This window comes from Homo sapiens, chromosome 10 (assembly GCF_000001405.40).
Source record: "Homo sapiens chromosome 10, GRCh38.p14 Primary Assembly".
NCBI lineage: Eukaryota > Metazoa > Chordata > Mammalia > Primates > Hominidae > Homo > Homo sapiens.
Window position 1 is genome coordinate 42,938,763 of NC_000010.11, and position 25,981 is coordinate 42,964,743.

Here is a 25,981-nt window from a genome sequence, read left to right on the forward strand (position 1 = left end):
TGCTCTGGGCTGGGGGCAGGGGGTGGCTCACGCCTGTAATCTCAGCACTTTGGGAGGCCGAGGCAGTCAGATCACAAAGTCAAGAGATCAAGTCCATCTTGGTCAACATGGTGAAACCCACTAAAAATACAAAAATTAGCTGGGCATGGTGGCACGTGCCTGTAATCCCAGCCACTCGGGAGGCTGAGGCAGGAGAATCGCTTGAATCTGGGAGGCGGAGGTTGCAGTGAGCCGAGATCGCGCTACTGCACTCCAGCCTGGTGACAGAGTGAGACTCCTCAAAAAAAGAAAATGAAAGAAAAAGAAAGCAGCACTCTGTGTTTCTGTGGGCACGACCTGTGGGCTCATGCGCTCAGGAGGCTCTAGAGGCACTGACACTCATCTCCGCCCATGCCTCCTCTGGCCTCATGGACGGTGGCAAAGTGGAAACAATTTTAATCAAGGTCTGTATTTTTAACAAAAAATGTATTAATGACTTCGGATTCTTAGGACTTGTGATTTTTCACCTTTACACTGGTGTGACCGCAATATGCACTCGGTAGAACACGAACTTCAGATTTGGTGATATGCAATACAATGATCCCTTCAGATGCTGGGCAGTGGCGTGAGCACAGCTCTCGGCCAACATATGACTGCAGGCCAAACAGCTGCTACTCCAGGACGCTGTGGCGCTGGCTGATTCTGCCCAACTGTAGGTGAAAGTGAGTGCTCCAAGCGCGCTTAAGCGGGCTGGGCTCAGCTGTGATGCTTGCTAGATTGGGTGGATTAAATGCACTCTCAACTCACCTTATTTTCAACATATGATGAGTTTATCAGGATGTAACCCCCTCAAAGTTGAGGAGCACCTGTACAGTAAATGAAAATATAATGAGGAAAAGATTCTCCTGCTCAGTCGCTGTTTACTGAGGTATGATCTGGGGCGGGAAACTGGGCTTCAGCCCTCCACCACGGCCACCCAGAGGGCCCTCCTTGAGCATAGAGAGGGGCTTCTCATCGGGAAAGGCAGGGGAGACTTCCCGGGTGACGCTGAGCAGAAACCAATAGGCAGGCAAGACACAGGCAGGGGTGGCACGGGAAGGAGAGAGGTGGTCCCAGCCGAGGGGGAGCGCAGGAAAACCCCAGAGATGGAGGAAACCAACGTGCCCTGCCTCCTGCCCTGGATGGAGAGGCCCAGGCCCTGACCACCAAGGCAACAAAGGCCTGGCCCAGCGCGTGCGGCCAGAACTTCCACCCCTGTGCATCTGTGAGGGATGGAATCTGGAGCAGGACCTTTACAGGAACCCCTGTTCCTCTCAGGAAGGGACTTGGGGCTTCCTAGGTTGTCTACAATCCCCAGAGCATCCCTTTCTCATGACTGCCATGGCCCCACTTGGCACAGGCCTCAGCCTCCTTCCCGGTGCTCTGCGGCCTTTCAGCCCCTTCTCCCCTTCTGGGCCCCCTCCAGACTTCAGTGGGTCTGGAGACAATAAGAATTTCCTAATTCCAGGCTGCGGGTGATGGATGCAGCCCACCAGGCCCCTGCCACGGGGTCTTCAGGAAGCCATCTCCCTTCTCCTTGGACTCTGTAATTAAAGCTGGGGATAACCTACTGTATTTCCTAATTAGCAGCCTTAATCCCTCATGCACACCATTAACAGGCTGGCGCATCTTTAGATGTGATTGGTAATGTCGTTAGCCTAATCCATAATCAATACTTGGATAATTGCTTCCTTGGGTTTATATTTAGTCCTTGGGGTCTTGGGCTGGGGGGAACATCCATCTGCAGATGCACTAATGGCTGTGTGGAGGTCGCCCACGGACCGCTCACCCAGGACCCCCAGGAGCTGTGGCCTGTGGTCAGAGCAGGTGCTGCCACAGCACCGGAGACCCAGGCCCTGGTGCATCCAGGGATCTCTGCAGGCTGCGGTTGCGAAGCCTCCTGGTCCATCAAGGCCTTGGGCTCTGGTTCCAGAACACTAGGGGTTATTTCAGAAACAAGGTCAGGAGACCCCAGACCTCAGACCTCAGACCATGGCAGTGTCCGCACGTCCCCACCCCACACATCCCCACCCTTTCAGAAGAGTCTGCGGGGGGTACAGAGGATGGTCCCAGACTAGAGCTGCAGGACTGTCACAGCCTGCACATTCCTGCTCCACGCGGGCCCCAGCGCCCCTCAGCTCCAGGCACAGCCCCTGTCCTCGCCTCCCCCGCTTGCCAGGAAACCGTGGCCCAGCCCGACGTGATTTCCTTTCTCTCAAAGGCTGGCGGCAGCTTTGGCAGCTCAAGGACAGGCCAGGGCAGAAGAAGAGCAGCCTGTCGAAGGCAGCCCTTATGAATGGGATCTCATCTGACTGTAACTGGAATTCGTATGGAGGCTCCGCTTACAGGAACTTCCCCAGCAGACGAATCTGGGCCACAGAGTTCTGAGCTGGAATGCCCCAGGAGCCAGCCATAAATCTCCCCAAAATGAGGGTGCACAATCTCATTGCTCTGGAGGTGCGCTGCTTGCCCCTGGAGACGACTTGTCATTCTGCGTCCTCCAGGCTCTGCAGAGAGCCAGGAGCCGGGCCAGGGAGAGGTGGATGGGAGTTGGCAAAGTCACCGTGAAGGTAAACATTTTTATCATTTAATTAGGAGCCTCTCAGAAAAGCAAGCTCTGTTTCGTCTAGAGCTGGTCAAAGGAAATGAGAAGTGACATTTTCCCACCCCCACGTTCCCCTTGGCCCGGGAAACTCCAAGCTGGAGGCGCGGGATGTGGGCAGCCTCAGGCTGTGCACATCCAGGGCTGGGCCCAGGGGCAGTGGTGGGGCGTGCAGCCTTTGCTGTGCTCTGGCCGTGCCCGGCACTCTCGCTCCCTCATTTGCTCTCATAAACGCCGTCTGCATTATCGATCACCCTCTGGGTCCCTCCATAATGCAGGGGCTTCAAACCGCACCCGCTCCTTGAGGGTGCTGCATTCCTGTACTCTCTGCATCTCCCAAGCATATGTGTGACAGCAAGATGGCTGCAGATATGCAACTTCCAATAATCAATCAACTCTTAAATGATCCTCAATAAACCCTTAAGTAATGACCAGGAGCCCCTCACCAGCATATCTGTACCCATTTGTTGCTCCATCCATCCCAATGCATGACTGACAAGTGTTCACACACGTGTCACCCGCAGGCTCCACTCCAGCTTTGGAGGATGCAGGCAGGACGTCACTCTGGGGCTCCTGTCTCCTGGGGAGATGACAGTGAGGGAGGGACACTCATGAAGAACCTCCCTAGCCAGTTCCTGACTCTGCGACTGCCCAGACTCTGAGGGTACTGACCAACAGAGCTCACTCAGCTACACAGAGATGAACCTGGAGGCCTAGAAGAGGCCGGCCTGGCCTGGGTGCAAAGGCCCCAGGCAGAAGAGCCCAGATGTCCTCACTTCTTTCCCAGTATGGGGCACCCAAAACATGCAGCTCCATTTTAATGAGCAGCTGCTGTCCTTTTTCAGCTGCTATGGGCCCACTCTGTCCAGGCTGCAGCCTCTGGGCAGCCTGAATCCAGCCACCAGGTGAGGCACATGCATGGAGAACTGTAAGAACATTGAGACTTCGTGCCTCACTTTACAGGGCAGCAAATGGAGGCCAGAGAGGGCAAGATACATGGCCAGGGATGCACAGGAGCAGGATGAGGAACCGGGCCTTGCTCCCACCCTGCACTCGGAGGCCCAGGTCCACCTACTACAGACAAGGAGTCCGTGGGCCAGGGGTGGGACTCATCTGTGCACGGAGGGCCCAGGCTGTTTTTTCTCAGGAGGGACAAGGCTCTAGTCAACACTGCATCAGGGAGGGACAGATGTCATCTATTCAGCAGGGGGTTTTAGCAGCTTCCTTAGTTCTTGGGCTTCACTGGGTCCTTCTGCCAACAAGCATGGCCCCTGGCCCCGTGTGGACACTCTCCCAGGGCAGAGGCCATGGCTAACCAGCCTGAGCTGCTCCAGATAGCCCAGCAGAGATATCCAAGCAGCTGGAGCCAGCCAGCCCTCAGCACATGTCCATTTATTCTTGCAGCAGCTACTTACTGGGCCTGGGCGGAGACAAGATGATCCATTCTGGATGCATATATATGAAGAATATAAAGCAGGGCTGGTGGGATGGGGACATCATGCAAATGTAGTGGGGTGCTGGAGAAGTCTGTCTGCCAAGGTAGCCAACAAGGAGAAGCCAGATGTGCTGACAGCTGTCTAGGGCGGAGAGCAGCAGAGCAAAGGCCCTGTGGCAGGAATGGATTTGCTGTGTTCCAGGCAGGAGAAAGGCCAGCATGATGGAGCCAAGTGAGCCAGCAAAGTGAAAAGGCCAGAGAAGCCTGCAGCCTGGGGCATGGGTTCCATTCCCAGTGCAGGAAACTGGGATTTGAAGCAAGGGTTGGCATGGTTGATACTTTCAGAAGAGTCAGTCTGAGAGGGGCCCTGGATGCCAGGCTGAGGAGGTGGGACTTCCTTCTGGAGGAGAAAGGAGGACCAAAGAGGCTTTTCAGCAGGGAGCTGGCAGGTCACTCTCCAGCTGTGGGAGCCAGCCCCTTCTCCGGGAGCTGTGCGGGTGCTGGGCGCCATCAAGACAGCTCCGCTCCTCCCAGCCGTGAGACTTGGGACAGAGTCACCCTCTCAAATTCTGTTTTGTTCTCTGCAAAATAGACATAAAATTTTAGACAATAACCAGCTACTCCAGCCAAACACCATATAAAAAATGGTGGCTTGTTCCCACTCACACCATCAAAGGCCGAGTGGGGAGCCTGGACTTCCACCCTGGCCAGGCTGTAATGAGTTGCCCAATCTCCCTGTCTCCCTGATGAGTGGTATCAGAGAGGGCTCAGTGAGGGGCCAGGACCTTCATCCCCACCAGGCAGTAACCAGCCCCTTCCACCCCGTGGTGTCAGTGGAGGCTGCACAGGGAGCAGGAGCCTTCGGGGGAACCTGGACTCCTACTCCCACCTTCCACACTGTGCCTGCCAGAGTGGTGTCAGAAGCCGCCAGCTAAACCAGAAGGTTTCAACTCACATTCAGAATTTCATAACATACTGCACAAATAACACAATACAGGAGCTCAGCAGCAGCATGGGGGGACAAAGGAACACATCCATGAACTCCAAGAGAAACTATAGAAATTATTTAATCTGAACAACAAAGCTACAATAGATTGAAAATGAAAACAAAAAGAACAATCCCTCAGGAACCTGTGAGACTGTAACAAAACATCTAATTCATGTTATTGAGTCTCAGAAGGAGAGGAGAAAGAGGTGGGCCTTAAAAAGGACTCAAAGATACAATGGTTGAAACTCCCTAAATCTGGCAAAAGACACACACTTACGAATTCAAGAAGCTGAGTTACTCAAATAGGATAAACCAAAAAAATCCACACCACGACACATCACGGTTAAACTCCTGAAAAATAAAAACAAAGAAAAAATCTTAAAAGTAGTTGGGAGAGAAAAGACCCCTTCCTACCTATAGGGAAAAAAAATAAGAACGACGACAGATTTCTCATTAGAAAGCACAGAGGTCAAAAGTGGCACATTTTTCAAGTGCTGAAAGAAAATAACTATCAACTCAGAATTCTATTTCCAGTAAAATATTCTTCAGGAACAAAGGAAATTAAGATATTCTCAAATGAAAGAAAAGTAACAGAATTTGACAATAGCTGACCTACCCTAGAATGATTAAAGGAAGTTCTCTAAACAGAAAGAAAATATTAAAAATAAGGAATCTTGAAGCATCAGAAAGGAAGAGAAAAACAGTAGGAGTAAAAAATATTGGTAAACATTTCCTTCTCATTTTTGGTTTTCTAAATTATATTTGACCGTTTTCACAAAAATTATATTGTCTGATGTATTTCTGAATGCATGTCGAGAAAATATTTAAGACAATTGTATTACAAATATAGGAGGGTAAAGTAGCTTGAAGGGGCATGAGTTTTCTGTACTCTACTTAAACTGGTAAAATATTAACATCAGTACACTAAATTATGTATATATAATGTAATACATCAAATAGCCGTTTTAAAAGCTATACAAAAAGACACACTCAAAACACACTATAGGCTGGGCATGGTGGCTCATACCTGTAATCCCAGCCCTTTGGGAGGCCGAGGTGGGCGGATCACGAGGTCAGGAGATCGAGACCATCCTGGCTAACATGGTGAAACCCTGTCTCTACTAAAAATAGAAAAAAAATTAGCTGGGCGTGGTGTCGGGCACCTGTAGTCCCAGCTACTCGGGAGACTGAGGCAGGAGAATAGCGTGAACCTGGGAGGCAGAGCTTGCAGTGAGCGGAGATCGCACCACTGCACTCCAGCCTGGGTGACAGAGTGAGAAAAATAAAAAAAAAAACACTATAGACAAATCAAGCTGGAATTCTAAAAAACTTTAAATAACCCATAGGAAAGGGAAAAAAGCTCAGATATACTAAAAATAGTGAGAACAAACAGAAAACCAAAACAAAACATAAAATGGACAACTTAAGCCCTAACATGTCAATAATTATGTGAAAATGCAAATGGTCTAAATATACCAATTAAAAGACAGAGATGGACAGAATACACTAAAAATATGACCCACCTATATGCTGTCTATAAGAAACTCACTTCAAATATAATGATATGTGTAGGCTGGAAGTAAAATGACGGGAAAAGATACCTTACACAAACATCAATCAAAAAAAAGAAAGCAGGAATAAGTATATTAATACCAGATAAAGTATATTTTAGAGCAAAGAAAATTGCTGGAGACAGAAAGGGTCATTATATAAGGATGAATGGGTCACCCACCAAGAAGTCATAGCAATTCTAAACATGTATGTACCTAACAAAAGAGCCAAAAAATATGTGAAGCAAAATCTGATCAAACTAAAATGAGAAATATATAAATCTACACTTCTTTCAACAATTCATAGAACTACTATTCCAACATAGAACTACTTTCAATAATTCACAGAACTACTAACAGAAAATTAGTAAGGATATAGAACTCAGCAACACCATCAAAGAACGTTATCTATTCAACAGATGGAGAAAACTCCATGCAGCAAAAGAAGAATACATATTCTTTTCTTTTCTTTTCTTTTCTTTTTTTTTTTTTTTTGAGATAGAGACTTGCTGTGTCGCTCAGGCTGGAGTGCAGTGGCATGATCTTGGCTCACTGCAAGCTCTGCCTCCCGGGTTCATGCCATTCTCCTGCCTCAGCCTCCCCAGCAGCTGGGACTACAGGCGCACACCGCCACATCTGGCTAATTTTTTTGTATTTTTAGTAGAGATGGGGTTTCACTGTGTTAGCCAGGATGGTCTCCATCTCCTGACTTCGTGATCTGCCCACTTCGGCCTCCCAAAGTGCTGGGATTACAGGCGTGAGCCACTGTGCCTGGCCAAATACACATTCTTTTCAAATGCCCGTGGAACATATTCCAAAATAGACTGTATGTAGGCCTTAAAATAAACCTCAAAATTTTTAAAACAATTGAAATTTTGTAGAGCATGTTCTCTGACTGTAATGGAATTCAACTAGAAACCAACAGTGGAAGGATAATAAGAAAATCTCTAAACAATTGAAAACAAAACAACACATTTCTAAATAATCCATGACTCATAGGAAATCTCAAGGGATATATAAACAACGTTAGACTAAATGAAAAGAAAAATGAAAATGCAATATACCAAAATTAGTAGGATACAGCTAAAATAGTGCTGAGAAGATGGTGGATAGCACTAAATGCCTACATCACAGAAGAGGGAACATCTTAAGTCATTAATCTATTTTTACACCTCAAAAATCTAGAAAAGAAGAGCAAAATAAACCCAAAGCAAGCAGGAGGGAATAATAAAAATAAAGGCAGAATGAAATTTATGAAATTTTAAACAGAGAAACTATAGATAAAATAAATGAAACAAAAAAGCAGATTCTTTTAAAAGATCAATAAAATTGATAAACCTTTAGCAAGACTGACAAAGAAAAAAGAGAAAACACAAATCATTAATATCGTGAATGAAACAGGATATGACTGCAGACCCTGAAGACTGAAGGAAATCAAGAGAATACTATGAACAACTCTGCACACATAAATTTGACAACTTACATAAAATGGATGAGTCCCTCCAAAACCAACTACAATTCACTGAATGTGAAATAAATAGCCTATAGCCATTAGTAAAATTGAATTCATAATTTAAAACCTCCTCAAAAAGAAATCTTCAGGTCGAGATAGTATCACTGGAAAATTGTACCAAATGTTTAAAGAAGAATTAACACCAATTCTACACAGTCTTTTCCAGAAAATAGAACAGGAGCAAATGCTTCCCAATACTATTGGTAGTATTACCCTGACACAAAACTAATTCTGTCTTAGTCTGTAACCGACTAAGAAATAAAAGGAATTCAGACTGGGAAGGAAGTAATAGCTGCCCCTGTTTGCTAATGACATGATTCATCTGTAACAGACTAAGAGAGTGTTAAAAAAGAAAACCATAGGCCAATATTCCTCATAAATATAGATATAAATATTCCTAACAAAATATTGGCAAATAAAACTCAGCAATATATAAAAATAATTATATGCCATGATCAAGTAGGGTTTATTCCAGGGATGCAAAAGCAGTTCCAATATGTGAAAATCAATAAGTGTAATCCACTTGATAAACAGGCTAAAGAAGAAAAATCACATAATCATATTAATTGAGGAAGAAAATGTATTTGACAAAATTCAGCACCCTTGAGGGATGGGGGTATGGGGAATGACTGGCTGTTTAACAGTCTGGGCTTCCCTCTGGGGTGGTAAAAATATTCTGGAGCTAGACAGCGGTGATAGTTGCACAACATTGTAAATGTCCTAAATGTTACTGAATGTACAGTTTATACTGCTTAGAATGGTAAATTTTAAGTTACGTGTATTTTATGAAAACAAAAAATTAAATTCAATACCTATTCATAAAGAAACTCAGAAAAATAAGAACTGAGGGGAATGTCCTCAACTCAATAAAGAACATTGACAAAAACCTAACATTTAACATTATACCTACTGGTGAAAGACTGGATAATTTCCTCAAAGATCAGGAGAAAGGCAAGGGTGCTTCTCTTGCCACTTCTGTTCAGCAGCATCCTAGACTTTCTAGACAGTGCAATAAAGCAAGAAAAAGAAATAAAAGGCATTCAGGCTGGGGAGGAAGAAATAAAACTTCCCCTGTTTGCTAATGACATGATTGTCTATATAGGAAATTCTAAGAAATTTACCAAAAAAAAAAAAAAAAGCCAAAAAAGCAAAAAACCAAAACCAAAACAAAACCATCACTAATAAATAAGTTCAGCAAAGTCTTGGGATATGAGGTAAACATACAAAGAAACCGGTGAATTTCTATACACTAGCATGAACACAGGGACACTGGAATTAAAAATTACAGTAACTAAAATTGATGAAATACTTAGGTATAATTCTAACAAAACATGTTCAAGACTTATATGCCAAAAACTACAAAATGCTGATGAAACAAATTTAGAGAAATTTTTTAAAAATCTAGATAAATGGAGAGACTTACTGTGTTCATGGATTGGAAGTCTCAACATAGGAAGATATCAACTCTCTCTAAGTTGGTTTTCAGGTTTAACACAATTTCTATCAAAATCTCAGCAAGATTTTTTGAAGATATAGACGTCATTCTAAAATTTACATGGAAATGCAAAGGAACTGGAATAGCTAAAACAATTTTGAAAAAGGATAAAGTGGGAGGAATCAATCTATGTGATTTTAATATATTATTTAGCTACATTTATCAAGACTGTGTAGCATTGGTGGAGAGTTAGTTACATAGATTAATGGAACAGAGTAGAGAACCCAGAAATAAACCCACAGCAATAGGTCCAGCTGATTTTAGACAAAGGTGCAAAAATAATTCAATGGAGCAAAGATGATGCTGGAGAAATCAGACAGTTGTAGGCCAAAACCAACCAAACAGAAACCTGAACCTTCACCTAAATCTCACATCTGATTTTTTAAAATTAACTTAAAAAGGATAATGGATTTAAACATAAAATGTAAAACTATAAAACTTTTAGCAAAAAATAATAGAAACTTTTCAGGATTTAGAACTAGGCAGTGTTCTTAGATTTGATGCCAGAAGCAAAATCCATAAAAAGAAAAATTGATAAGTTGGATTCATCAGAATGAAAACCTTTTGCTCTGCAAAAGATCCTATTAAGAGGATGAAAAGACAATCTACAGACTGGGAGAAAATATTTGCAAACCACATATCTGACAAAGAAATAGTCTAAAATATGCAAAGAATTCTCAGAACAAAACAACAAAAAATCCAATTAGCAAACAGGCAGACGTAAAGCGATCTTTTACCAAAGAAATGGCAAATAAGCACATAAAACTGACTGTCAGCAATGTGTAAACTAAAACCACTACACCCTTATCAGAATGGCTAAAATAAAAATAAAAAAATAGTGACACCAGCAAATGCTGGCAAGGATACAGAGAAACTGGATCATTCATGCATTGCTGGTAAGAATGTAAAATGATAAAGGCACTCCAGAAAACAGTTTGTCAGTTTCTTTAAAAACTAAGTATGCCACTACCATATGACCCAGTAACTGCATTCCTGGCAATTTATATCAGAGAAATGAAGACTTATGCTTACTCAAAAATCTGTACATAAAAGTTCACAGCAGCTTTTTTAGATAGTAGTTGAAAACTGGGAACACCCCAGATGTCCTTTATTGGGTGAATGGTTTAAACACACTATGGTACATCCATACCATGGAATACTGCTCAGTGGAAAAAAGGACCAAACTCTTGTTACACGCATCAACCTGGGTGAGCCTGCAGAGAATCATGCTCTGTGAAATCGCCAGTGCCAAATTGTTACACACTGTATGATTCCATTTATATAACATTCTTGAAATGACAACATTACATTAAAATGGTGCAAAAGTAACTAAGGTTTAATAGAAATGCAGACTAGGTTAGCTTAATGGCTCCCAGGGGTTAAGGGCAGGATGGGGTTAGGGGCAGGGAATTCCTCTCCTTGAGGGAGCTGGGAGGGAAGTGGGTGTGGCTATAAAAGAGAAACGTGAGGGATCCTGGTGGGGAGGGGATGTTCTGTCTCTCCACAGTATCAATGTCAGCATCCTGATTGTGACATTGTAGTATAGTTTGTGTGTGTGTGTGTGTGTGTGTGTGTGTGTGTGTGTGGTTTTTTTTTTTTAAAATGGACTCTCACACTTGTTGCCCAGGCTGGAGTGCAGTGGCACGATCTCGGCTCACCACAACCTCCGCCTCTCAGGTTCAAGCGATTCTCCTGCCTCAGCCTCCCGAGTAGCTGGGATTACAGGCGCGCGCCACCATGCTCAGCTAATTTTGTATTTTTAGTAGAAAGAGCGTTTCTCCGTGTTGGTCAGGCTGGTCTCAAACTCCCTACCTCAGGTGATCCACCCGCCTTGACCTCCCAAAGTGCTGGGATTACAGGCATGAGCCACCATGCCTGGCCAACACTGTAGTATAGTTTTATAAGATGTTACCTCTGGAGGAAATTAGGTAAAAAGTACACAAGATCTCTCTGTTTTATTTCGTAGAACCGTATGTGAATTTACAATTATTCAAAATAAAAAGTTTAATTAAATAAAAAAATCACTAAAAAAAGTTGCCTAGAAGATTTAACAAAATTAAACCAATCTGTGAATTTAATGACATAAAGCATCCAACTTTATTGCTTAATTGTTAAACTTCATCCAAGCAATATGTAGACATTGCCTAAAATATTTCAACATATTACAAGGTTTATAAAGAAAAGTGGCAGTCCCCTGCCCTAATCCCCATCCCTAGAAGCATTCCATGTGAGTCTGTTGGCTGTTCCTTCTCACGTTTACTTTTATGATTCTAAGTAAAATGCTTAGGCTGCCGGTTCTTGGTTTTTCCATTTTAGTGTTAACCGAATGATGGACTTCTTCCCAGGGTAAATAACAGTCCTGTTCCCTTACACATCCCCTCCAACCGCCCCCACCCCACACACACATCCTTCCCTCTCCACTTCCTTCCAATGGAGTTAGATCATGATATTGGGTCAAATTAATGTTTTATTTTTAACACTTGGCTAAGTAAATACCCTTCACAGCTGAGTCCGACCGTTTTCTAGCCATCCGTATCGTATATTCATGCAATAAATGGTTATTGGCACCCAATGTTTGCCGGGCACTGTTGCAGGTGCTGGGGACACAGCACTGGAAAAGCAAACAGGGTCCTGTCCTGGAGAAGCTTCCATTTTTGAGGATTGGGAGACCAATAAGAAACAAGTTCAGGCATATTTTTTCCGGAGATAAGCACCAAGGAGGAGCCCCGGACGGGGTGCCATGAGCAGGGGTGCCCTAGGGAGGCCTGAGGAGAAGACCCTGCCAGGGGCTGAGGGGAGAAGAGGGGACTTGCGGGCTCCTAGAGGAAGAGCTCATCCAAGCAGGACGGCAGAAGCCCAAAGTCCTGGGAGTGAGCTCGCTGTCCCGAGGCCCAGGTGAAGGGGCTGATATGGTTGGGGGGAGTCCAGCTGAGTCCCTTCTTGCCACCCGGGGCCCCACTGCCACGGGGCGTCACTCGCTTCTCTTATTAATGCCGTCACCACCCCTTGGCTTCAGCTAAGTTTCAGCTTTTTCCACTCTGAAGCCAGCACCTCTCATCTGTTCCGTTCTACCCGCAGCGTTGCCCTCGTCCTCCCCCCACCCTCCGCCTCATGGGCGCAAACACTCGGGAGCACACGTGGAGGGTGGAGGCGGCACAGAGACCTCCCCAGGGAAATGAGGCTCCAGCTGGATTTGAACACGCGGGGAGGAGGTGAGGATGCTGCTTTCCCAACAGCTGGGCCGCCTCGTCCTTGTCACCGCTCTGGTTTCTCAGCCCAGGCTATTTTGGGTCAGGCTGCGAGGACCGCTGCGTCAGCGAGTGGGCGTGAGTGGCGGCGCCTACCTCCCCCAGTTGGGCCGGGCACAGTGCCAGGCCAGGCCCACCCAGGCTGCGCCAGGGGCCGCCAGCCTCTGGGCGGCAGGGGGACCCCTGGAACCAGGGAGAGTGGCCTGAGCAGGAAATCAGGTCCCAGGTAACACGGGCTTCAGCGGGCTCAGGCTGGGGAGGGGACAGGTGTCTCGGACTGCGGGCGGAGGAACCGCGCACATCAGAGGGCAGCGTCTCAGGGCGGGCTGGGATCTGGGGAGGGATTCGCCAGGAGGGGTCAGTGGCCCAGGCCTTCCAGGCTGAGTGGCGCTGGGCAGAGGCACGACCAAAGGCAGGAGGCTCTGGGACTATTTAGGGAGGAGGGAGGCTCACCGAGGACACAGAGGCCAGGCTGGGAGGTGGCCACCAGCCAGGGGCGGGGCAGCAGGTCAGGGAGATCGGATTTCCCCAGCTCCCACTGGCCCGCGCCTTGCAAGCCGGAGATTTCCCCTGCTCCGTGGAACCCTAACAGCTACTCTGGGGCCTTGCGCCCCATCCCAGGAGGCCCACCCCCTCTCCCGGCCAGTTCTACCTTCTCTGTCTCAGCAACCCCCACCCTTGCGACTGAATGAAGCACTCTGAACAGAGACCTTTTGAAAAAAGTCTAAATGTCCCCTTCTTAGGTGAGGGAAGCAAAAGGGAAAAATAGAATCGACACCAATGACCTATTCCAGTCTCCCCTCCCGACTGCAGAAACCAGCAGAGCCACATGGGCCCACAGGCGGGGCAGGCCCAGCTGCAGGCACCACCCTCCTCCCTGTCCTGAGCCGGGCTTGCTCTCAGAGCCTGCTGCTGTCCCCAGGCTAGGGATGCGCCTCCCAGCGGGAACCCCTGTGGAGGGAAAGCCCCGCCCAGCCCGAAGCTCAGTCGCGAGGAACTGCCGTCTGTTGAGCACTGCCAGGTACTTTTTGACTCATGGGTCGTTTTGCTCTAACATGTGTATCCCTTAAAACTCAGAAGAGAGTCTGGTCTTGTTTACTCGCGGTTTTTTTTGTTTTTGTTGTTGTTGCTTGTTTGTTTTTCTTTTGAACAAGGAGGAAGAATATCTATAGGCAGGAAGTCCCCAACTGTCCTAGTCCCCAGGCTGCTATTAAAAAGTACCATAGACTGGGGACTTAAACAACAAACACGTCTAACAGTTCTGAAAGCTGGAGGGCCAGGCAAGGCGCTGGCAGATCCACTGTGCGGTGAGGCCTCTCCTTCTGGCTCATCCCTGGTGCCTTCTCCTGTGTCCTCACGTGGTGGGCAAAGCAGCTCTCTGAGGTCCTTGTGTAGGGGCACCAATCCCATTCACCAGGGCACCGCCCCTGTGGCCTCATCACCTCCCAAATGTCCCATGTCTTAATGCCATCACCATGTGGGGGAGGGCTTCAACCTGTGGATTTCAGATACACACTAGGCCCACAGCACACACTCAGGCTGAGGCCTGCTCTACCATTTCCGCAGACCCCTCTGGACCCGTCGCGGTGCTAGTCTGCAGCTCTGTTCAGCACCTGCTGTGCTCGGCCAGGCTGAGGGCAGTGGGTGGGCGAATACTCCTGTTCCCTCCCCTAAAGCTCAAGCACCCCTTCCAGCAAGGTTCTGCTGTCCCTCTGTCACAATCAAGGGAAAACGAGGTACTGAGGGTCCCATGGCACGGCCCCGCAGCCAATCACCAGGACTAGGCCTGGGAGTCAGCCCCCAGCTGTCATGCCTGGAAACCCTGACCTCACTTACTGCCAGGCCCAGGGAGGGCTGTCACTTCCCTGGGAAGGGCCCTCCATGCTGGGGACATACTGAGAGTGCCGACTGATTCAAAAGACTGGAGGAGGGATCCAAGGCAGGAGGCCTCCTGAGGGCCTGAATGGCCACAGACTGTAGGCACAGGGATGGAGAGAGGATGCTGTGTGTGGGCAGGTCAGCGAGGAAGGTTGGTGGGACCCATGGGCCTAAGGGTGAGGAAGAGTCAAAGATGACTTGAGGCTTTCCAGGGGCACAAAATAGAGGATGGTGAGGCCATCAGGGATGGGGCAAGCTGTAGAGGGTGCCGTGAGGGGCTCTGGTGGCGGAGACTTGAGCTTTCTGAGTCTAATGAAAGAAAGAGAAATTGGAGAGAAGGGCCCCAAGGGGTACTGACCTGGGCCGGGCTCCAGCATCCAGTTCCTATAGGGGCTATGAAGGCCTGAGATTAGGGTCCGTCTCAATTTCAGGGGGATTTCTCTGCTGTGGCCAAAGCAGCCTGAAGCTAGGCCAGGAGTTTTGTCTCCTCACTGCCTTTTCTGGAGTGCCTTGTAGGGATTAATGCAGGAGGGAAACCCGGTTGATTTCAGGTGTGCAGGGGTCTTGGGGGAGAATTCTGGGTGAGGAGCCTACACCATTTGTCCCAGGTGCAGCTTCGCCCAACACGCACAGGCTCAGCAGGGCTGGTCAGGAACGATCTTGAACTGTCAGCACCCTCAATGAGCCTTTGTATGAACTGGAAACAGACGGTGACACTGAATCAGGGTACACCGGGGTCCAGGACTGGGGGTGGTCCCTGGAGGGATCACAGCCCCCCTCTCACAGGGCATGACCCCCATACCTGCGTGCTGTGCCCCTGAACCTTTGGGTCCCATGGGGTTACCAAGCAAGCACTGGCTCCCAGCCTTGTGACTTCAACATGGCCAGGAGCACTGTGCAGGTGGCCTCAGAGAAAAGGGGCGGGAGGGCCCAGACTTTTGCTGGGCACCCCACCTCCCAGGAGAGGGCACCTTTCTTTTTCTGTGGGAGGATCTGCAGCTGTGGGGCAGACCCCCAGCCCTCACTAGACTGCTCGGGTTTCCTGGAGGCTCCGGGCCAAGCTAGCCTGAGTGCGGAAGGTGGCAGGTGCCCCAGATGCAGTGTGCTCCATGCTCTCGGTGGCTGTGGCCTTCCTGCGTGTGTCCCCATCGGTGGAGTGGCATTGGCACGCTCCTCACCTGCTCGCCCACACCATTCCAGCCCTGATGATTAATTGTATAATTAGCTAGAAGCCACATGTTGCTCAGGTTGAATTTGGTCTAAAAATATTTTCTTATGAAAAACACAGCAGAACCTAAAAATATCTCCTCCACAGTTGCCCAGGGAAGCCTCCTGCTTGGGCCACCCCCAGCCATCCCTAGCTGCAACTCAGTTTCTTGGAGAGTCTGGAATGCAGAGGCAGAGGGCTGGCCAGGCACTGCTTCCCACCAGGGCAAGGTGAGCTGGGGTATCAAGACTGTCCCTGGCATTGCCAGTTCCCACAGGCTCCCAATGCCTACAGTAGGTCAGAGGCTGCTGGGGCTGCCTGGGAGGCTCCTGTGTGCATACAGGATGCATGCCAGCCTGACTTCACGGGGGCTGGGGCAGTGCCACAGAGGAGGCACAGACCTCGTGGGGTGAGGTCCTGGAAAGGGCTTCCTCACCCTGGTGAGCCATCAGGGAAGGCCTGCAAAGGACCAGTGCTGAGCTGGGTGGGACCCTGCACAGGCAGAACTCCCTGCTGACCTGTGCAGGGGAGTAAGGGATGCTGGAAGAAGACACTGGCCCTGCCCTAGAGCCCCTAAACTGAGCATTGCTGCGGCTGAGGCCCGTGCACCTGGTCCCATCCCTGCATAGGGCTTGGCTGACTGGCTACATGTCCTGTGGCTGGTGGGGACAGACATGAGCAGGGACATGGAGCACCTGTATCTTCCAGGCTTTAGCACACAGAAGCAACCACCCTGCTCTGGCACACAGTTCTCCCTGGGTGGGTTAGTCACAGGGGTCAAGAACTTACCATCTTGCCCTTCTCCTCTTCCCTTTTGGTGTCCTTAAATGGGGGCCACCATCTCCTGCTTCGGAGGCTCTGCCTTGGTCTCAGGAGAGGACCCCGTCCACCTGGCCTGTCTGTGCACCTTCTATCCCATCTCTGGGGTAGATGATGAACCCTTAGTGCCTCCACTCCCTCCTGGCCCAGTGGAGCCCTGGAGCACATTTCCGGGCCCTTCTCTCTGGTCCCAGGTGGGTGGCTCAGGCCCAGAGAGCTTGGCCCCTCTGGATGGACACAGAAAGGTGGGGGCACAGCCAGGATGGGCACTGCCTTCTCCTAAGCAAGCCCAGGTGCATGGATGGAGCAAGTGGGGGCTCCCTGCAGCCCCATCCAGCCCTGAGTCTCAGGCCCAGGGTGGTGTGGCAGGGATTTGGACTGAGTGTGGCTTGCAGAGGGCACACCTGCCTGGGGACAAAATCTGTTAACCCCAGGTTTAAACAATAAAGGCACTAACAATCTAACCTCCAGAGAATGAGGAGGTGGGCGGCTCCAGGTGCCTGTTGCAGTTAAACCCCATGAAGCCTGGCTCCTGTCTCTACAGTCCCCTCACCTTCCTTCATGCTTCAAAGATGGCTGCTGCAGCCCCAAGCATCACACGTATCACAAAGGGAAGAGATGGCACCAGCAAAATATCTTCTTCCTCCTCCCTCGTTTTTCAGAAAGCCAAAGCCCTCTTGCCAATAGCTTCTCCTTGTCTTGACTGAACTGTGCCCACGGTGGTCACATGGCCACTACTAACTGCTAGAGTGTCCAGTGAAGCCAGTGCCTGACAAGGGAGAGCCCAGCTGCTATAACTGGACTGGAACAAACAGAATTGCAGCCTCTGAAGCTGAGCACATTGCAACCCCAAACTAAAGCAGGTGCTGAAGGCAAGAAGAGGTTGGGAGAATGTTTTCCACAGGAGAAAACTTCATCCTTGTGATCTGGGGAGGGGCAAAGTCTGCGAGGAGAGGCTCTGCCTTCCCCCCAACCAGGGGCCCACATTTCCATCTCTGATAAATAATTGGTAGGTGTCGTTCCCTGGAGCAGATCTGTAACTCACTGAGGGGACCTTCCAAGCTGGTTCTGTGTTAAATACACAAATCTTACCACAGCCTTTCTGACAATCAGGCATCCAGGCCCTGCTAGATCCCTGTTGAAAGGAAACTCATCACATGTCAGGCAGCCCATTCCTTCTGGAGGCTTCTCTGACAGGAACCACATCCTTATTTTGAGCTAAAATGGGCTTCCCTTGGCTTCTAGTCATTAACCCTAGTCCTACTTTCCCACATTTTTTTTCAGCAACTTTCTGTGAATCTATTATTTCAAAACACAAAATTAAAAATAAGTTAAGGAGAGACACAAAAAGTCTAAGAAGTGCCTGAATTGTACTTCTAGAGATGAACATTACAATGTCTGAGATAAATAGTACACTCGATGGCATGAGCGGCAGATTAGACATTACAAAGTAGCTTAGTGGACTAGAGACATTGCCATAAAGACTACCCAAAATGAGCCACACAAAAAATTAGGAATACAAATGAATGTAAAGGGCATCAGCAAACTAGGGAGAAATCCGCAAGTAGCCTAATATATGTTGGAATTGTAGTGACCAAAGAAGTGTGGGAACAGAAAAAAAATATTTGAAGAAATAGTGGTTGAAGAGTGTCCAAACTGGATGAACACTTTAAACTCTAGTGCAAGCATAGCCAACCACAAGCGCAAGAACAAGAAGCAAGGAGAAAACTAACCAAGGTGCAATCATGATCAAATTGCTTAAAACCAGTAACAAAGAAAACATCATCAAAGCAGCCGGGAAAACAAGGACACGTTTCATCAAGAGGACCAAAGAGCATGAAGATAAGAGATTTTTCACCAGAAACAATGCAGGCAAGAAGTCAGTGGAGAGACATCATTAAAGCACTGTCTGTACAAAACTGTCATTGGAGGATTGCATACCCAGCAAAAATGCCTTTCAAACATGAAGGTGAAGTTGAGGCTTCTTCAGACATACAGAAGCTGAAATCATCAGCAGATCTTGTCTGCAAGAAATGTTAAAAGAAGTCCATCAGGCAAAGTGATACTGGATGAAGATCTGCACTTACAAACAGGAATGAAAATCACTACAGGTGAGAACTACACAGGTACATTTATTATTTAGGTCTCTTTAAAAGAAAATTGATTCTTTCAAAAAATAATATATAGTGGGGTCTGTGATAGGTAAAAGTGAAGCGTGACACCAATAGCATTGACAACAATAGAATAAGGGTGGGGAGAAGTATCTCACTATAAAAATCTCAGACTATGCTAAAGTCCTGTGATGCCAAGATCGCTTGAAGGGATTGTGATCAGTTAAAGACTCACACTATAAAGCTTAAAGCAAACACTAAAATAACAAACAAAGAGTTATAGCTAACGAGTCAAAAAAAAAGAGAGCTAAAATGTAATCACGAATACTTGATTAATGCAAAAGGAAGACAGAAAAAGAGGAAAAAGAACATGAAAACCAGAGGTGAGCAGCCACCAGAAGGCAGAAGAGGCAAGCAATGGATCCTGCCCCAGAGCACCCAGGGGGACTGTGGCCCTGCCAGCACCCCAATTTCAGCCCCATGATGCTGATTGCAGACTTCTGGCCCCCAGAACTATGGCAAGATAAATTTCTGTTGTTTTAAGACACCAAGTGTGTGATTTTTCTTACACTAGCCACAGAAATGAATGCATTGTATCACCCTGGGAGGGGCAGGCCACCAAGTCTCATCATCCCCTCCAACTCTGTGTCATAAAGTCCAGACAGTGCTGCTGAGAAGTTAGGGCTCCTTTCTTCTGCCTCCTGAATCATGAGTGGAGGCTCTACTCCAGGTTCGGGGGGCTGAGAACATGGAGGCGCTGACTACTCTCACCCAGCTCACTCACAGGGTATAGGTTCCACACCAGTCAAGTCAAGTGAAAAAGATCAGAGGCTTCCACCCCCACCCAGTGACAAGAGGAGTGTTGTAGACATTTTTCTCAGGGGTAGAGGCTACTCAGGAGAACACAAAGCTCCAAACTCCAAAGGTGTCTCTTGAAGACTGAGGTTATTTGAAATAGTGTGGGTAAATTCAAGTCTAAGGGCTATCTCAAAAACAGTGGAGATTTTATTAGCAGGCAAAGAGCAGGCTGATCACTCTGTGGGCAACAAGCCAACTGTAGGCCAGTGAGTTTACCAGGAAGAACCAAGAAAAGAGCCCTGCTGGGACCAGAAAAGAATCCAAATATTATCTCTGTCTAAAATTAATTTTATCAGACTAGAAAAATGCATGCCCCAGGACATTATCAAAATGGTTTATGGTTTTGTTTCTGAGGCACTTGTAGGTCCTGAAGATAATTGTACATATTCTCTTCTAAAAACTTTATATTTCTTTTACATGTAGATATTTCATCCTTAGAATTGATTTTTGTAAATGGTATGAAGTAGGGATATAGTTTTAGTTTTTTCCACATGGATTTGCAGTCTCCTAAGGACCGTTGATTGAAAAATCAGCCTGTTCCTCACTGATCACGCACACGTGAAGTATACAGATTGTGGGGTTTGTTTCTGGGCTCTGAATTCTATTCCTTGGCTTACATGTGTAGTTAGTTATTTTTGTCTGCAAGCATTTCATTTTACCTTGGAGTATTATTTGTGGGTTCCTCCAGGGACGATTTGTCTTCCATCTTTCCAGTACCTGGGACACCACCACTCTGTCTCGTTGAAAATTGAACTGCCAGCTTGAGGTTTTCAGACCACCTAAATCTTATGAATTCAGGCTGAAAAATCTACATGAAGACCACTGGCTTCTGTTGATAAATTCTCAGCAGGGATTTTCACCTCTTTCCTCTCGGCACTGAGGTTCAAAATGGCTGGTTTTCTTTGTTATACCCTTGAGAAAGGCAGATTTATTTCCAGTTGACCCTCACTTTGAGCAGACAGCTGATTGGGGTCTCAGCTCTGTGGGGATTTCCCACAGAAATCTGGGCCTGCCATGGGCTTTGACTTCTGCCCTCTGCCCACCAGGAAGTCACGAAACTGGAAGTTCAACTTCCCGTTGCTGGCAAATTCCCTCAGGAATTTGGCTTGCCTTTTGGGTGTCTGTATTCTACAAATGTTTTGACTTGAGAAGTTCTTGCTTTTGGCTAAATCTTTAATACGTTTTTAAAAGACTATTTATAAAATTTTGTCCAGGTTTTCAGTGCAAGAGCTGATCCAGGTACCTAGCTCACCATGTTATCCAAGTGTCCAGTACAACCCAATTTTTAAGTTTTTAAATTGTATAATTTTAAAATTATGAAGTGTGTTTTGTCTTTAGGATTTTGAAAGATCTGAGAGTTCTGTCTTATCCTGAGAGGTAACTAATGTCCCTTCCTTCCAACTCTTGCCCCTGTTACCTGAGTCCACCTGTAGCAGGTACTTTAACATACATAACGTGTGACCTGCTGGTGCTGGAGTGGGGTTCACTTCACTTCCACAGTGGCCTCTGCAGGGGCAGGGAGTCCTGGAGCCCTCCGTGTCCCAGACCCCAGTTCTGACTTTATTTGAGTCAAGAGCCTCTTTAAGAATCTGATGAGGCCGGCTGCAGTGGCTCACACCTATAACTCCAGCACTTTGGGAGGCTGAGGTGGGAGGATCACTTGAGCCTAGGAGTTTGAGACCAGCCTGGGCAACATAGGGAGACCCTGTCTCTACAAAAACTTTTTTTTAAAATTAGCCAGGTATGGTGGCATGGGCCTATGATCCCAGCTATTCAGGATGCTGAGGTAGGAGGATCACTTGAGCCCAGGAGGTTGAGGCTGCAGTGAGCCATGACTGCACCACTGCATTCCAGCCTAGGCTACAGAGTGAGATTCTGTCTCCAAAACAAAACAAAAAAAATTCTGATGAAAGCTAGACAAGGGCGTACAGAACACACACAGCAGACACAGTTTCTGTTGGATACACCTTCAGGGGGCCTGTGGATCCCTTGCAGTGGGATCCCCTAATTCTAAGACCCCCCACCCCACGCCTCTCTATAGCACTTCCCTGTGTTTGCTGCTGGCAGGACAGGAGGCAGCAGGGGCTAGCACAGGCCAGCCTGCTCAGCTGTGGGTGTTCTGCAGCGAACCTGCTGTGCCTGTGTCACATACCAAGGGCATGACTAAGGGCTACTGATGCAGAGTCAGAAGTGGCCCAGCCCTGGCCCCTACCTCCTCCCAGGCTCCTCTGAGCCTCAGCAGAGACTGTGGCCAAGTAGTGAAGTCTCTGGCGGACATCTGGACCTGCAAGCCATCCAGAGCATTGTCCTTGGCAGTGGCGAGATGGTCAGGTCAGCACCTGGGTCCTTCCCAGCTTAGGCACACTTTTTGCCAGGATAGGAGCTTCTCAGGCCAGGGCCTCTCTTGCCAGTGCAGGCAGTCATGCCTGGCATCAAGTCCAGCAGGCGCGGAGGGGACTGCAGGCCACAGCTGTTCAAGTGGGGGCCTCCTTTCTGCCCTGCGAGGCCCTCTCAGCCTTGATGAGATCACTTGGGGGCCTTCTATCTCTGGGACTCCAGAAATAGAGACAGGGAACTGGGAGTGAAAGCAGCCACATGTGCTTGGGCACCATGAGTGCTCACAGGTGCCAGAGGAGCAGACGGGACCAGGTCAGGGACTGCAGCCCAGGACCAGCCAGTGGGGCTTCTGCAGTGCCTCATCCTGTTCCTGCCATGCCTCACTGCCAGGAAAACAGCCACCCTTGACCACCTGCCCACCGGCCTCTCCCAAAGAAGACACTCCGAGAAGCAACTGCTAGAATTTTCTCAGGACTAATAGCAGTTGCTAACTGTCTCCAAAGCACACTCAGCTGTCCTTGGGGCTCAGCCAGCCCCACACATAGGAGGGACAAGGCCCACAGCGCACAGGCTCAGCTCCACAGCACAGGGCTTCTGTCCTGAGGCCCCGTAAGCCTCCTTCCAGCATGCCTTTCTGTTCATGGAGTATTCACTTTGTGATTGTGTAATCAAAAATCGTCTTGACAATACAGCATTCTCCCATACTAGACTTACTCAGAGATGGTCTGTGCTCTGAGGATGATGCTAGCATGGCTGCTGCCTGGGCACCTCAGAGCAGTCCTGACACAGCCCCCATGGAGCCCCACCTCGAGGAGAATGGGATAGCCTGGGGATCCTGGGCCCGGAGTGGGCCCCACGTGAGTCCAGCTTGCTCCAGCTGACTCTCTGTGGGCCTCCATTTTCTTGTCTGGAATGGAAGGAAATGATCCCTCCAGCTCATAATAATGATCATGTTTATGTCAGATCATCGTTCCTAGGATTTCCCCAAACCTCCACGTGCCTGGGAGAGGAGTGAGTTCTCCAGCTCCCTGGGACCCTCAGGGGTTACACACACCACCATCGGCCCTCCCATAAAGGCTGCACCTTGGCTCGGCCTCCACTGTGGGCCTGGCTGCAGGCTCTCACCCCAGCTGGTAGGAGCTGGGGTGAAGGAGGCCAGTTCAGGCGAGTCCTCTGCACCATCCTCTGCTGGCCCGATTTCCCGATCAGCACTGGATCAGCCTGAGTGCCTGAATCCAGAGCTCACTCTCCACTTGGGTGGGAGCATGGCTGCTTCCTGTCAGCCCCAGCGGTGTGACTGGGACCAGAGAGTCTCCTGCAGCCTGAAGAATTGTCCCAGCCTGCCCACCCCCGGCCTCCTGTGCTCCAGGCAGGCGTGGCTCTCCGTGTGGCAGATCTCACTCTTTGTCAGGGCCTCTGTGTCCTTCCTCCTGGGACAGGCTTGGCCTCAGAGGGTGGGAGGGAAGGGAGGGCCACTGCAGCCGCAGCTGCTGCATCAGGAGGGGCCAGGAGTCCCCAAGGTCGAGTCCAGAGCGCAGCAGGGAGTCCCAGTGCTGACGCTCTGCACATGTGGCGTCCTTGTCTTGCCCCAGCTGCAGGCTCCATGTCCAAAAGCACATGGAGGGAGAGCAGAGGTTTCCTGGGGACAGCAGCTGAGGCCAGGGGCTGGTGTGCTGGCTCACAGGCTCTGAGGCTGGGGATCACTGACATTGTGCTGCTGCGGCCTCCTGCCCAGGGAGCCTGCTGGCAAGGGGCCCACTGCGACCCGGGCTGCATCCCTGGCCAGCCCTCTCTCACTGGAGGCCTGGACTCACCCCTGCCAGGAGGGGAGCTCTGTGCTCCCTCTCTGCTCTGTGCTCCCTCTCTGCTCTGTGCTCCCTTCCTGCCTGTCTGGCAGCACAGTGACCACCTCCCCAAAACCCATCCCGGCACGGAAGTGGGGCCTCAGAGCAAGCAGAGGAAGAACCAGGGGCCCTTGGTGATACAGCCTGGAGGGGGCCTTGGCTGGCACTTGCCATTGGTGTCGGGCAGACACCGGCCCCTCCACCCACCAGAAGATCTCAGGCACACCTGCCCACCCTGAAAGCAAGCAGGCAGGGAGTGGCCCCCAGAGCTGACCAGAGGGAGAGAAGACAGGAACTGTAGAGACAAGAGGAGTCCACCGCCCAGCCTGGGGCAGCACCTTGGAAGCTGGGGTTGGGCTATCCAACTAGAAGGGACAGAAGCCAGCTGTGCGGTTGGTTGGTGGTGGGCTGGAAAGGGGCAGAGGGACTCAGGACGTGCCTTCTGATGGGATCATAGGGTCTCCATAATGCATTGGCCACAGGTGGATGAGGAAGAAGTTGCCTCAGGGTTGTCGTGGAACTCCCAGGAGGGCTACGCCACCCCCATGGGTGTCTCCAAGCCCCACGCCACCTGGTTTGCAGACCATGGGCCCCTAGTCATGTCGCCTATCTGGGCCTTTTTTTAAAAAAAAAAATTTATTTTGAGAGAATTGTAGAATGAGCATACAATTCATGCATGCACTTATAAGAAACGATACAGAGAGGTCTGAAGTACCCTTTACCCAATTTCCTTCAGTGATAACATCTTGCAAAACTACAGTACGGTATCACAGCCAGGATACTGACATCCGTAGAGTCAAGTTACAGAGTATTCCCTTACCACCAGGGGCCATCCGCAGCCACACCCACTTCCCTCCCTCCCTCCCCAGCCCCTCCATAACCCCTGGCAGCCACTCACCACTTCTCCATTTCTACAGTTTTGTCATTTCAAGATTGTTATATAAATGGAATCGTTACATTATGTAACCTCCCGGCATTGGCTTTTTTTTTCACTCGGCCCAGATCCCTGTAGATCCATCCAAGTTGTCCCATGTACCAGCAGTTGATTGCTTTCTAATGTTGAGTAGGATTCCATGGAGTGGATGCACTATGGCTTGACCATTCACCCATTGAAGGCTCTTTGCAGAGCTCTCGGTTTTGGGCTACTGTGAACAAAGCTACTATGAGCTTTTGTGTACAGGTTTTTGTATGACTACAAGTCTTCATTTCTCTGAGATAAATGCCTGGGAGTGCAATTGCTGGGTCACATGTCAGTTGCATGTTTAGTTTTATAAGAAACTAAGAAACTGTTTTCTGGAGTGGCTTTAACATTTTACATTCCCACCAGCATCATGTATAGGTGATGCAGTTTCTCCACATCCTTACCAGCATGTGGGGTTCTCACTGTTTTTTATTTTAGCTATGTTGATGTGTATATAATGGTATCTCCATGCAATTTTAACTTGTATTTCCCTAATGAGTAATGATGACAAACGTGTTTTCATGGGTTTATTTGCCATCTGGGTATGCTCTTATATGGAATAACTCTTCATATCTTTTGCCAGTTTCCTAATTCGCTTGTTTGTTTACTACTGCATTTTGAGAGTTGTTTATTCTAGATGTTAAAAGCCTTCATCGGATACATAGTTTGCAAATATTTTCTCCCAGTCTGTAGCTTGTCTTTTCATTCCCTTAACAGGCTCTTTCACAGAACAAAAGCTTCTAATTTTAAGAAAGTCCAATTGTTTTTTACGTCAATTCTAACAACGTGGCTAGTTCTAGATCCCGAAAATTTTCTGCTATTAAGAAAAAAAAGCTTTATAGCTTTACATTTACACCTAATCCATTTTGAGTTAGTTTTTGTATAAAGTGTGAATTCATTATTTTTGCTGTGATGTCCAGTTGTTCCCGCATCATTTATTGGAAAAGCTGTCCCTCCTCTGATGAATGGCTTCATACTTTTGCGGAATATTAGGTGGGCATATTTGTGTGAGTCTATTTCTGGGGTCCGTTGATCTATGTGTGTCTGTCCATCTGCCAATACCCTACTGTCTTGATTAGTAAGCTTTAATTTCAAATAGTGATTCCTTCCACTTATT

At 48.4% G+C, this 25,981-nt stretch overlaps 5 annotated features.

Moving 5' to 3' along the window:
• Window positions 1–501: an enhancer, noted in NCBI's record as "H3K4me1 hESC enhancer chr10:43434211-43434711 (GRCh37/hg19 assembly coordinates)". NCBI's record gives its function as "activates a minimal SCP1, AML or CMV promoter by ChIP-STARR-seq in naive H9 embryonic stem cells {active_cell/tissue: H9 hESC(naive)}" and the evidence as "EXISTENCE:reporter gene assay evidence [ECO:0000049][PMID:30033119]".
• Window positions 13,064–14,417: an enhancer, noted in NCBI's record as "VISTA enhancer hs2327". NCBI's record gives its function as "enhancer in: midbrain (mesencephalon)[4/6] | dorsal root ganglion[3/6] | other[3/6]" and the evidence as "EXISTENCE:transgenic organism evidence [ECO:0001131][PMID:17130149]".
• Window positions 13,064–14,961: a biological region, named in NCBI's record as "VISTA enhancer hs2327".
• Window positions 14,245–14,961: an enhancer, noted in NCBI's record as "H3K4me1 hESC enhancer chr10:43448455-43449171 (GRCh37/hg19 assembly coordinates)". NCBI's record gives its function as "activates a minimal SCP1, AML or CMV promoter by ChIP-STARR-seq in primed H9 embryonic stem cells {active_cell/tissue: H9 hESC(primed)}" and the evidence as "EXISTENCE:reporter gene assay evidence [ECO:0000049][PMID:30033119]".
• Window positions 21,708–22,208: an enhancer, noted in NCBI's record as "H3K4me1 hESC enhancer chr10:43455918-43456418 (GRCh37/hg19 assembly coordinates)". NCBI's record gives its function as "activates a minimal SCP1, AML or CMV promoter by ChIP-STARR-seq in naive H9 embryonic stem cells {active_cell/tissue: H9 hESC(naive)}" and the evidence as "EXISTENCE:reporter gene assay evidence [ECO:0000049][PMID:30033119]".